Source organism: Homo sapiens, chromosome 10 (genome assembly GCF_000001405.40).
Source record: "Homo sapiens chromosome 10, GRCh38.p14 Primary Assembly".
NCBI classification, from domain to species: Eukaryota; Metazoa; Chordata; class Mammalia; order Primates; family Hominidae; genus Homo; species Homo sapiens.
In genome coordinates this window covers 9,342,488-9,356,729 of record NC_000010.11, presented here as the reverse complement: position 1 = coordinate 9,356,729, position 14,242 = coordinate 9,342,488, and the positions used below count along the sequence as shown (strand labels likewise).

General features: G+C 38.0%; 1 annotated feature.

Annotated features, from left to right (window-relative positions):
- Positions 13,356 to 13,872: an enhancer, noted in NCBI's record as "NANOG hESC enhancer chr10:9384821-9385337 (GRCh37/hg19 assembly coordinates)". NCBI's record gives its function as "activates a minimal SCP1, AML or CMV promoter by ChIP-STARR-seq in naive H9 embryonic stem cells {active_cell/tissue: H9 hESC(naive)}" and the evidence as "EXISTENCE:reporter gene assay evidence [ECO:0000049][PMID:30033119]".

Here is a 14,242-nt window from a genome sequence, read left to right as displayed (position 1 = left end):
CGAAATATCCAGGAGTGTGGGATAAGGAAGGAGAGGGCAAGAAATCCAGAAAAATAAAGACTAAAGTGGCAACTTTACCTAAAAAGTATGCAATATATACACCTGAAATTTTGTTTTGTGCCAAAGAATGTTCTCTCTCTCTCTCTTTTTTTTTTTTCTTTTTTTTTTTTGAGCTGGCGTCTCACTCTGTCGCCCAGGCTGGAGTGCAAGGACTGCAACCTCCACCTCCCAGGTTTAAGCGATTCTCCTGCCTCAGCCTCCTGAGTAACTGGGACTACATGCTTGTGCCACCACGCCCAGCTAATTTTTGTATTTTTAGTAGAGACAGGGTTTCACCATGTTGGCCAGGATGGTCTCCAACTCTTGACCTTGTGATCCACCTGTCTTGGCCTCCCAAAGTGCTGGGATTACAGGCGTGAACCTCACCATGTCCGGCCAGGGTGTTCTCTTGAATTAGTGGTTAGCTCTAAGAAGTCAGGTAGTCATCTCACAGTCCAGAAAGAGAGGGGAAGTCAGTAACAGCTTCTGACTAGCATTTATTGAGCATTTATTAATATTATGTGTTGGGTTCTATTCCAACTGCTTTCTGTGCATTAAATAATTGAATTTTCATTGCAACTCTATGAGATAAGTGCTAGCATTGGCCCTACTTTACAGATGAAGAAACATAGGCATGGAGGATTGATGCATTCTGCTAAAGGACACACAATCATGTGGTAAAGACGCCAGGATACTAGTGAGTCTGCACACTGAAGCACTGTGCTCTACTGCTGTCGAAAGCAGTAAATCTGTACTGCAGCACATTTCCCATGGTGTGTCCCATCTACCTGAAGTAGCCCATTTGTAACCCTTGCCCTTTCTTTTGCTTGAATCCAAATTTGGACTGAATCCTGTAAAGCATCCTCTGACTCAGCCATACAGAGCTGATATGTTGATCTCTGTGTTTCTACTAAGCCAGATATATACTTCCACCAAGAAATTTAGGGCAGTGTGTTTTGCATTTGTTCATTTAGAGGTGTATCTTCTTTCCCACTGGACTTAAAGAGCATTGAGAGTAGAGTTAATATGTCATCTGTTTCCTAACTAACAGTATTTACCAGAGTTCTGCTCAAAAATTTGAATGAATGTCAAGTGACTTCAGGTTGTTCAACCTGTCTTCAAAAACAGACCTGCCAGTGATCTTAACCATCTCTTCTAGAAAATATAGCTACTACCTTGAGTTTCACATGTTCTGTGGCAACTCAGTAGGCATGTTAAAATTCTGGAAAAGCTTTTGTGAATTGTGGTGCACATTCTATCTGGTTTCTCTGATACTTCCAAAAGTTAGAGTCAATAAAGAATTCTTTAGCTAAAGGAATTTATCAGGGATCTTGGGAATTCACATTCTCTATCACATTACTTGTTATTCAGGTGGATGTGTCCCTACCTGATGTACTTAATACGAACATTTTATCAAAGTACATTAATTTTTATCAAGCTAATGTATTTTTTGTTAAAGTAAGCAGCTTTAATTTAATTATAATTATCATACTATAACGTCTATTCTTTAATGTGTACAATATGGTGACTTTTAGTACATTTATGGAGTCATGTAACTACATTATCTAGTTTTAAAAATATTCTCCTCATTGTGGCCATCCCAATAACTGGAATTATAAAATATGTGACTGCTGTTACTGGTTTATTTCACTTAGCATATTTTCAGGGTTCGTCCATGATCATGTATGAGGATGTCATCTGTTTCCAAAACCAAATAATATCCCATTGTATCTATATACTATATTTTATATCTCCATCCATCAGTGATGGACATTTGAGTTGCTTCTAACTTTTGCCTATTATAAGTAATGCTTACACATTATGCTTATGAGTATTCATCCACAAGTTTGTGTGACATATGTTTTCAATTATTTGGGGAATATATTTATGAGTTACCAATTAATGGATCAAATGATAACTCTCTGATTGTCAAACTGTCTCCCAAAGTGCTTGTAACATTTATAAACACATCAGTAATATGTACAAGTGTTCCACTTTCTCCACCTCCTTGTCAACACTTATTGTTGTCTATTTTTTTTTTAATTTTAGCCATCTTAGTGGTTATGATACAGTATTTCATGGTGGATCTGACTTGCACTTCCCTAATGTCTAATGAAGCTGAACATCTTTTCATGTGCTTATTGGTCATTAGTGTATCTTTTTCAAAGAAATAGCCATCCAAATATTTGCCTATTTTTAATTTAATTAATTAATTAATTTTGAGACAGGGTCTCACTCTGTCTCCCAGGCTGGAGTGTAGTGGCATAATCTTGGCTTACGGCAACCTCCACCTCCTGGGCTCAAACGATCCTCCCACCTCAGCCCCCTGAGTAGCTGGGACTATAGGAGCATGCCACCATGCCCAGCTAGTTTTTGTTTTATTTTGTAGAAAGGGGGTCTCACTACGTTGTCCAGGTCTCAAACTCCTAGGCTCAAGTGATCCACCTTCCTTGATTTCCCAAAGTGCTAAAGTTACAGGTGTGAGCCACTGCACCCAGCCAATACTGTTATTTTTAATCATCTATTTATTGTTGCACTGTAAGAACTTTTTGTATATTCCAGATTCAAATCCCTTATTGATCTACTTGCAAAGATTTTCTTCCATTCTGTGAGTTGTCAATCTACCTTTATGATGATGTTCTTTGACGTAGGACACCTTGCCTAATTCAAGTTCATGAAGATTTACTCCTATGTTTTCTTCTGAGTTTTATAGTTTTGTCTCTTACATTAAGGTTTATGGTATACTTTTGACCTAACTTTTGTATATACTGTAAATTAGGAGCCCAAATTCATCCATATGAATGTTAATATCCAGTTGTCCCAGGACCATTTGTTGAAAAGACGGTTGTTTTCCCATGGAAGTGTCTTGGCATCACTGTTGAAAATCAATTGTTGAAAATCTATTTTATAATTATTGCTTTATCCACTTGTCCTACAAATCGGGTAGAGAAGAAATGTGTTACAAACAAAAACATATTTTATATTTGCCCACGTATTTACACTTACTAGGACTTTTTATTTCTTTGTTTGGTTTTGATTCACTTTGTGGTATCCTTTCATTTCAACCTAAACAAAAACAAACCCTTTATTATTCCCTGTAGAGAAATTCTGATATATATGTATATATACATATGTCACACATATATATATCAGAATACATATATATATATATATATATGTTTCTTTGTTTATTTTTTTATTTTTTTTATTTTTTTTATTTTTTGACAGAGTCTCGCTCTTTCGCCCAGGCCGGACAGCAGTGGCGCTATCTTGGCTCACTGCAAGCGCCGCCTCCCAGGTTCATGCCATTCTCCTGCCTCAGCCTCCTGAGTACCTGGGACTACAGGCACCCGCCACCACGCCTGGCTAATTTTTTTGTATTTTTAGTAGAGACGGAGTTTCACCGTGTTAGCCAGGATGGTCTTGATCTCCTGACCTCGTGATCCGCCCACCTCGGCCTCCCAAAGTGCTGGGATTACAGGTGTGAGCCACTGCGCCTGGCCATATATATCAGTTTTTGTCTCTCATTCTTAAATCCCCTTATTGAAAGATTTGCCTTAAACCAAACTTCCAATTCTTAATAAATTCTTACCTTGCCTCCCCTGTACCAATACATGGCCAATGCTCAGTAGAGATACTGTTATCCCTTGCAACACAGGCAGTGAGTTCAACTTAGTGTTACCAATGTGTTGTGTTGGTGATATTTGGGAAGCCAGTGTTCCACACCTCCTTTATAAAAGCAAGCTCAAAGTTCTGTGACTTTTCAACATTTCCTGTAAGTCAAATATAAGTATTTAAATGTAGCTACAGAAGACACAAGTGGTTCCAAAATAGGTTGTAAGTAGGGAAGTCGGGTGCTGTGTACTGTTAAATGGAAATGTCAACATCTACATTTTTTTCACGAGACTGTACCAGAGGCAGCAGTGCCCCAGCCATATCATCTCAGCACTTACCCTGATGAATTGTTTAATTCTACAAACTTGTATAGACCATACATTATAACATTTGCCAACAATAGGGTCCCAAAGATAAATAGGATGGTTTTCCTTTCCTCAAAGAGATTATTATTTAATTGGGGAAAATCAAACAAGCACATGAATCCAATAAAGAGTGAAAAAATTTACAGTCTATGGGGGATTGCATGAGGCACATGGAGAAAGTAACTCATCAACAAAGAACAGATGTTTAAGATAAACCTTGAAAAATACAGTAGGGTTGATTTCTGCAAACTGAAATATTATTTTTTAAACATTCTTATTTTTACACCTACATGTATCTTTCTCACCACTTACCAACATATCTCCATTTCCATCAAAACATCTTAAATGAATTACCCACTATCCTAGTATTTCCTCCCTTAATCTTTATTCTTCAAACTTCTATAGATGGTTTCCAAAACATACCATTCATTAAAACTGCTCTCACCCAGGTCACTAGTAAGCTCCTGTATACAAATCTCCACTAAAGTTTTAATTCTTATCTATCTTTACTTCTTGGTCTACTTGATGCTTGTTTTTTGAAAGTTTAATCTCATTTTTAGTATATGTCAAGCATCCTCCCCCAGTTTTCTTCCTGCATCTTTGGTCACTTCTCATTTTTGTTCATGGAATTCTTTTTATCACCTTACTTTATGTAATTAGTCTGTCAGGACTTCCATGACAAAATGCCATAGACTGTGTGGCTTAAACAACAGGCTCTTATTTCCTCACAGTTCTGGAGGCTAGAAGTCCCAGATCAAGGTGCTAGTAGATTTGGTTTCTGAAGAGGGCTCTGTTTTTAGCTTGCAGACAGCTGCCTTCTTGCTGTGTCCTCAAATGGCCCTTCTGTGCACGCCTGAAGAGAGAAGGAGAGGTGGTGTCTTCTCCTCTTCTTATACAGACACTGGTCCTTCAGATTAAGTCTCACCCTTGCAAACTCCTTTAGCCTTCATTACCTCTCTAAAGACCTTATCTCCAAGCATAGTCACATTGGGGGTTAGAATGCCAACATACAGATTTTGGGGAGACACAATTCTATCCATAACACCTTACTTTAGATAAATGGAATAGGAAGGTGTTGTGTATACAAGAAAAATAAACTATTATTGGTGGAAAGAGGTGGGAGAGAAGGGTCCATCAGAAGGAAATGGCTAGAAGCAGAAAGCCATGTTTTTTGTGTGGCTAGAATGTAGGATGCAGGGTGAACAGAAATATTGGAAAGAGATGAGTTTGAAAAAATGAGGTTGAGGAGAGATAGTTCAAGGCTTTGTGTGATAAGCTAAAGCGTTTGGGTAACTTAGTACTTTGTAATACCAGTGGCAGGCAAAAAAATAAGAATAAAGCAAGGCCAGGTGATGCTTGATAGTGGAATAATTTCTCAATAAGTTGTGATTCAACTAATTCCAGTTAGATCTCTTTGAATGAATAGAACACTAGATAAGCCTACCTCTTCATGTACTAAATAAATAACACTTAGACAGGACAATATCACAGATTTTGTCAAAGCTGCAAGAGATCAACAACAAAAAAGTTACATACATAAAAAATAAATGTCTGTTCAGAATTGTTCAAAAGCAAAGCCTGCCACTAGTGATACTCAGTGCATCCCTGTAAGCTTCCTACTTTAATCCTGAAGTTATCATCTGATGCCAGTTAATGGTTACCAGGATTATTTGAACTCTGAAGAAATGCAAAACCATTATTTAACAAACTTACTGTAACATAAGAGTCAACATGACAGGCGTGAATCGACCAGTCGGAGTGAAATTCTGTTTGTTTTGAGATCCCAGGCATCTGAACTCCCTCCTGTATTTGAAAAGCTCTCCAGCTCATAAGACAGAGCCTGCTTCCCACTTTAGAAGTTGAAAATGACAAAGGTGATTTCCCATCTACCCTTGCAGCTGAAGTATGGGCATAGGATCTGGCTGAACTTATCAAACCCACTTGCTCACAACTTTGAATCAAGCTAGTGACACACAGAACCAGAAACCGTAAAGAGTCACTTGTGATGGAGGTGAAAGCAGTTTCCAGAGACAGAGGCGTCAGCATCAGTACCAACACCAGTGCTGTTGGGAGGTGCACCCCTCCCAGCAGTGGCATTGTCTTCAGGGGACCAGTTATGCATGTAACCTGGGCATACCCTTGGCTGCAGAGTCTCAAAACCTGGTCTTTAACCATTCTAGAGAGACCATGAGATACTCAGCATTGTTTTTGGTTTTGTTTGTTTGTTTGTTTTGAGACAGAGTCTCACTCTTGTCACCCAGGCTGGAGTACAGTGGCACAATAGCTCACTGCAACTTCTGCCTCCCCCGTTCAAGCGATTCTCCTGTCTCAGCCTCCTGAGTAGGTGGGATTATAGGCTCCCACCAGCATGCCCGGCTAATTTTTATACTTTTAGTAGAGATGGGGTTTCACCATGTTGGCCAGGCTGGTCTTGAACTCTTGACCTCAGATGATCTGCCTGCCTCAGCCCGCCAAAGTGCTGGGATTACAGGCACGAGCTACTGCGCCTGGCCCATACTCAGCATTATTTTGGCAGGTTTTTCCTGTTTAACCACTAAGGCCAGGTGCAGTGGCTCATGCCTGTAATCCCAGCACTTTGGGAGGCCGAGGTGGGTGGACTACTTGAGGCCAGGAGTTCAAGACCAGCCTGACCAACATGGTGAAATCCTGTCCCTACTAAAATTACAAAATTAGCCAGGCATGGTGGCGCACACCTGTAATCTCAGCTACTTGGAAGGCTGAGGCACAAGAATTGCTTAAACCCAGGAAGCAGAGGTTGCAGTGAGCCAAGAACGTGCCACTGCACTCCAGCCTGGGTGACAGAGTGTAACTGTGTCTCCAAAAAAAAAAAAAGAAAAGTTAAAAAAAAAAAAAGAATCGAGGTTAATTGAGGTTACAGGGTAAATGCTACTTCAAAATCTGAAGGGACAGGTTACAGAGAATAGCAACAAATCAGTTCACCTGGAGCAGAAGCCCTAGAGCCATAAACTGATAGGAAAATTGACATGATTACATGATTTGGATCCGTGTCCCCAGCCAAATCTCATGTCGAATTTTAATCCCCAGTGTGGGAGAAGGGGCCCGGTGGGAGGTGATTGGATCATGGGGATGGATGTTCCCCTTGCTGTTCTCATGATAGTGAGTGAGTTCTCATGGGATCTGGTTGTTGAAAAGTGTGTGGCATCTCCCTCTTCTCTCTCTTGCTCCTTCTCCACCCATGTAAATGTACTCACTTTCCTTTCACCTTCCACCACGATTAAGTTTCCTGAGGCTTCCCAGCATGCTTCCTGTACAGCCTGTGGTACTGTGAACCAATTAAACCTCTTTTCTTCATAAGTTACCCAATCTCAAGTAGTTCTTTATAGCAATGTGAGAAGAGACTAATAGAAAAATGTAATGATAATTTTGACAAATTTCTAGGGGCTGAGTGTACATTCGCTTGGACATGGATTGGCTCCAGTCTTGGGGGTTTTACAGTTGTGTGGGTTTTAGCTCCAGTAATTCCACTGGCCTCTCATGTTGAATATCTGAGAAGAACCTCCTCTGCTTTCAGGAGAGAGAGAGGAAAGAAACCATTTGGAATTACGCCCAGAGTGTTTGTCTGAACGAAAGTCTATTTCCCAAAGGAAAACAACTTTATCAGAGCCTTATCTACCTGGAAAAGCAAAGTACTGAACACCAGGCCCCTATAGCTTTTCTGTCTCTACTAGGAGAAGGGAGGAAAAAGAATAATAAACACTTCCGAAGATCACAGTCCAGACACTCCTGGCTACTAAAACCAGATTTAATCATAAATTTATAGAATATGTCTACTCCCCTTCCTGCTAACACCACATCAGTAGGGCTTCAATAAAATGAAAATGTATTAAAGCTGAGGGAGCTAAAAGACAATCTATTTAAGAAAGTTCTTAGGAAAACATAGACAACTAGCAACTACAGAAAGAAAAAAATCGATAATATAAATGGAAGCCTCTGTTACCTACAGTTGTAAGCAAACGTTAGACAGAGCTGAGCTTCTGGCTGGATTAACATAAAACCTCCAACTAAGGCTTATATACCTTCTATTACCCAATATAGTATATCCAGCTTTCAAGTAAAATTATAAGGCAATTTACAAAACACAGTCTGAAGAGACAAAGCATCAGAAACAGACTGAGATACAAATCAGATTTTGAATTATTAAATATATACTTTTAAATAACAAACATTGGTATGTTAAGAAATCCAGTGAAAAAGTAGAAAACATGAAAGAACAGGTGGGTAATGTCAGAAGAGGAATGGAAACTCTAAGAAAGAATTAGGAAAAAAATTGCACACATCAGACTATGGTAAATAAAGAAAAAAGGAATACCTTCCATGGGCTCAGCTGTGAACTGCACAAGGCCAAAGAGAAAATAATTGAGCTTGAAGATATTCTAATAGAAACTTTTAAGACTAAAACACAAATAGAAAAAATAATGAAAAAAATAAATATCCAAGAGCTATAGAACAATTGCAAATGATGTAAATAAACATAACGCTAATAATAGAAAGAGAAGACCTAGGGAAAGGAGAAGATGAAATATTTAAAGTAATAATAGCAAAGAATGTACTAAAACTAATGACAGACATCAAACCACAGATCCAGGAAGCTCAGAGAACACTGTGTTAGTCTGTTCTCATGCTGCTGATAAAGACATACCTGAGGCTGGGTAATTTATAAAGAAAAAAAGGTTTAATGGACTCACAGTTCCACGTGGCTGGGGAGGCCTCACAATCATGGTGGAAGGTGACGGGGACATCTTACATGGCAGCAGGCAGGATAGAAAATGAGAACCAAGTGAAAGGGGTTTCCCCTTATAAAACCATCAGATCTCATGAGACTTATTCACTACCAGGAGGACAGTATGGGGGAAACTGCCACCATGATTCATTTACCCCACACTGGGTCCCTCTCACAACATGTGGGAATTATGGGAGCTACAATTCAAGATGAAATTTGGGTGGGGACACAGCCAAACCATATCAAACACCAAGAAAGACAGATAACAAAAATCTACACGTAGGCATATCCTATTCAAACTGTAGGAAAACAAACAAAATGTAATAATGTCGAAAGAAGTCAGAGGGAAAAAGTCTTACCTATAGTGGAACAAGAAAAATATTACATTGGACTTCTCATCAGAAATTCTGCAATCAAGAAGAGAATGGAAGTGAATTTTTTATGTGTTGAAAGAAAAAAAATCTAGAATTTCATACCCAGTAAAATTATTATTTAAAAGTGAAGGAGAAATAAAATCTTTCTGAGGCATATGAAAATTGAGGGAATTCATGATCAGAAGACTTACCCTGCAAGAAATGAAGTTCTTCAGGAAGAAGTAAAATGATATAGAATAGGAATTTACATATTTTTTTAAGTAAAAGATCATCAAAGAAGGAATTAATAATGGTAAAATAAAATCATTTAATTTTTTATTACTTGATATAATAGGCAACTGTTCCAAATAAATTATAGCAAAAAATATATTAGGTAATTTTTACTTATAGATAAACAAAATAAATGAAAGCAATGTTATAAGGAAAAGAGGAAGAGTATTTGGGACCACTTTGTTTGGTGATGCTGACATTACCCATGAAATAGGATAGAGATATTTGACTTAGATTAGTTATAGATGTATATTGCAAACTCTAGATCAACAACTAAAAAATTGTTTCAAAGAGGCGTAATTAATATGTTGAGAAAGGAGAAACTATATAGTGATAAAGTCATCAATTTTCCAAGAAGATTCAACCATCTTAAAGCTCTAAACACTTAACGACAGAGCAAATACATGAACAAATACATGAGACAATGGAATCATATAAAATGGTCAATTAAAATCAAAGAATGCAGAAAAAGAGAAGACAAAAATAGAAACAAAGAACAAGCACATAAATAGAAAACAGTTACAAACATAGTAGATATTGGCCCAAGTATATCAATAATCACTTCAAATGTGAATGTTCTATGTGCACTGATTAAAAGACAGAGTAATTGTTTTTAAAGGCCCTAATTCTTTGTTTTCTACAAGAAGTCTGCTTTAGACATGTAGACATATATGGTTTAAAGAGATAAAAAAGGATGTATCGCACTAACAGTAGTCAAAGGGAAACTGTAGTAGCAAAATGACTTGCAGACAAATCAAATGCCACATCAAGGAAGATGGTTGCAGATAAAGGAGAGGATTACATAGTGATAAAGTTATCAATTTTCCAAGAAGATTTAACAGTCTTAAAGCTCTAAGCACTTAACAAGAGAGCAAATATTAAAATTCATGAGACAAAGACTAGCAGAACTCAAAAGAGAAACAGGAAAATCCACTGTTACAGCTGGAGAATTTAACCCTCTGTCTAAATAATAGATCAGGCAGACAGAAGTCAGAAAGGATGTGTACGATATGAACAGCACTATTAATCAACTAGATCTGTTGATATTTATAGAATACTGTATCCAATATCAGCAGAACACACATTCTTCTTGAGTTCACATTAACATTCCTCAAGATAGACCACATCCTGGTCCATAAAACACACCTCAACAAGTTTAAAACAATAGAAATCCTACAGTGTCTGCTCCCAAACCACAATGGAATTAAACTGGAAAACAATCACGGAAAGATAGCTGGAAAATCCCAAACTATTAATACTTGAATATTCAATAACACACTTCTAACACATGGGTCAAAGAAATCTCAAGATAAATTTGTAACTATTTGGACTAAATAAAAATGAACATAAAACATCAATATTTGTGAGATGCAGCAAAAGCAGTGCTTAGAGGGAAATGTATAGCATCCACTGCATGCATTGGAAAAGAAGAAAGGTTTAAAATCAATAGCCTACCCCTCCATTTTTGGAATGTAGAGAATGTATATTTGAAGTATATTTGAAGTTGCAGCCCAAATGGAAATTCAAGCAGAATCAATGAAATTAAAGAGTGAAAAACAATAGAGAAAATCAATGAAACCTAATGTTGCTCTATGAAAAGATAAATAAAATTTTTAAACCTTTAGTGACACTAACAAAAGCCAGAGAGAAGACATGCATTACAATATTAGAAATCAAAGAGGAACCATTACCACTGATCTTGTAGACATTAAAAAGCTAATGAAGGGGCAGGGTGCAGTGGCTCAGGCCTATAAACCCAGCACTTTGGGAGGCCAAGGCAAGCGGATCACCTGAGGTCAGGAGTTTGAGACCAACCTGGTCAATACGGTGAAACCCTGTCTCTACTAAAAATACAAAAATTAGCTGGGTGAGGTGGCACATGCCTGTAGTCCTAGCTGAGTCAGAAGAATCTCTTGAGCCTGGGAGGTGGAGGTTGCAGTGAGCCAAGATCGTGCCACTGCACTCCAGCCTGGGCTACAGAGTAAGACTCCGTCTAAAAAAAAAAAAAAAGAAAAACTACTGAAGGAAAATGATGACCTATGGACCAATAACATTACAGAATAGGGAATCTGAATCATAATTGAAATAAAGAAGTGGCCATAACTAGAAATCCTTAACTTGGATTTGTTTATGCTATCCTAGGAGACTTTTGAGTTGACCCTGATTAGGGAATGATTTATTTTTATAAGGGATAGGTTTGGTTAGGTGAAAGCATCTTTCCACCTACCTTCCCTTCTCTCTCTCCCCCAACATCTCTCTCTAAAGGTACTTTAATCATTATAATTTATTTTTTAACTATCCAACAAAACTCTATAATTTATTAATTTATGTGGTCTCTTGTTTTAGTATTTCCTCCCCTGCCTGAATGTAAACTCCACAGTGGCAAGTATCTTGATCTGTACTGTTCATGGTTGTATCCTCAGCAACTACATTATTACTGGAACCCAGTACGAAATGTATAGATCTGTGCTAAATGAATTTCAGCTGCTGAGGAGTATATGTTGTAGATCTATGCCATTGCTCCTGTCACCTGATGCGAATACCCTTTTCACCTGTGAGGAATTAGCACCTGAGGTAGCAAAGCCTACTAACCACCAGGGCAGCGTCAGTCAAAATGTTCACTCCCCCTCTTCCCCTGTAGGGAAGATATGGGAACATGTTCTAGGCTGTAGTCATCAATAGGCCAACCTCAGTCTTTGAAACAGAAGCTAGAGGTGCAGGGAGGCATAAATGTACCAAATCCGTTCTGTCAAGGATGGCGGCAGTAGAAGAAGGTAGTGCTGGTTTCTGTAGACAGCAAGGACAGCAGCTCTCTTTCAGCACTCCACCCTGCGCATTGTTGATGCCTATGATATCATTCCTAAGGTGTGTTCTTGAAACCAGTTTATAGTATACCTGCAGGTGCGGTTCCTGACTCCTTGTGCTCCAAGACCAGGTAGGTCTCCAGGCCTCTCAGAGATTTTATGAGCTATGAAGTATTCTTTTAAATAAATATTAATTGTCTAAATTGGCTAAAGTTGTTTTCTGTTGCTTACATTCAAGCATCTCAAGATGCAATAAAACTTTCAGCAGCACACCACATTAAGTATCCAGATCAAAGCCACAAGCAATTTTCAAATGTTTTAGCCAATGTTCTCTCTACCCCTCAATAATACACATAAGAATTATAGAACTCTGGCCGGGTGCAGTGGCTCGCTCTTGTAATCCCAGTACTTTGGGAGGCCAAGGCAGGTGGATTACTGGAGGTCAGGAGTTCAAGACCAGCCTGGCCAACATGGTGAAACCCCATCTCTACTAAAAATACAAAATTAGCTGGGCATGGTAGTATGCGCCTGTAGTCCCAGCTACTCAGGAGGCTGAGGCAGGAGAATCACTTGAACCCCAGGAGGTGGAGGTTATAGTGAGCCGAGATTGTGCCATTGCACTCCAGCCTGGGCAAAAAGAGCACAACTCCATCTTAAAAAAAAAAAAAAATTATAGAACCCTGAAAAGTTTGTGGCCTAATCAGAACAGCAGCACAATAACTTTAATTTCATTGATTTGATGGGAATTGAATTGAATAGAATTATGACAGAATAAGATATTATTTTTATTTAATGAATTAAATGGATTTAAAATTTCTTTAGTCATTTCTTACCAGAGTGTTACAGGAGATTCAGTGCAAATAATGTGTATACGAACAAGGGCAGCATGGTCTTTGAATGACTTGAGGATTTTTAAGACTGACTTTTTTGTGTTTTTTTCCTCTCCTTACCTAGAACACCACTCTGAAATATATCATGCAGTCAATGCAAAACTATGTTAAAGGGAAGTCAGTTAGGATGGTTTTCATTTTCTACTTGATTTTATCGGAAGAGGCTTAGTCCAAAATACATACATACATAATATTAAATGCCAAGTCACTAAAGAAGAAAGCTTGGGTTAGCACCACTTGATCATAGCTTAGAACCATCCTATGCTAAAGAATTTCCCATATGAATAATGTAAGCAATTTCAAAGGCCATGTTGCTTTTCTTTGCCTTTTCGTATTTTCCATCAAATTAATTTAGAACATGCAAATATCCCTTTCATAACTTAATGTGCTACAGTAAACTGCAGAACAATTTTTGGGAAAAGGAGGTGGTTTGGATTGAACAGATTCCATGAATTTCTGTGCTAATTTAGCCTGACAGCTCAATGATTGTTCTATACACAAAGTTAAAACAGCAGAAACAAAGAGCTTAGCAGCAGGCACTCGAGAAGTTCTCTACTGCTCTCTGCTGGTTGCTATGTGATAGCCTTTAATTCTGTAGGCTTTTATCTTTAGGTGGGAAAAAAAGCTAATGTTGGGCAAAAGGTTTGCTTTCTATATCATAATTCACGTATGTACTTTAGATAATAGGAAGGTATCAATAATACATACAGAACACGTTTAAAATGCAGGCTATTGTTTTGAGATTTCTGCATTGCCAACAATGGCAACTGAAGAGATACTTATTTTCCAGCATTATGTTTTGGAAGGATAATTAGGATAATATATTCCCTCTTTATAATTTGCAGAAAATTTTCTTTTGCTTCTTCTATGTTTGAAAGTAAGTCAATTTGTTTACTTCTGAGTAATTATTGACCTACTATGCCTGGCATTCCAATGGACTGTTCTTCATCAAATAACTAGATTTTTATTACTTGTTATCCTCAAATGACTTAGAAGGCTTTCCCAGCAGGAGAAGGAGGAAAAAAGATAAAAGATGAGAAATGAGCTTACAATCTACTAGGATTTCTTGATGAGGTGAAATAGAAACATAGGCTTTATCGATGAGAGATATATCAAATGAGGT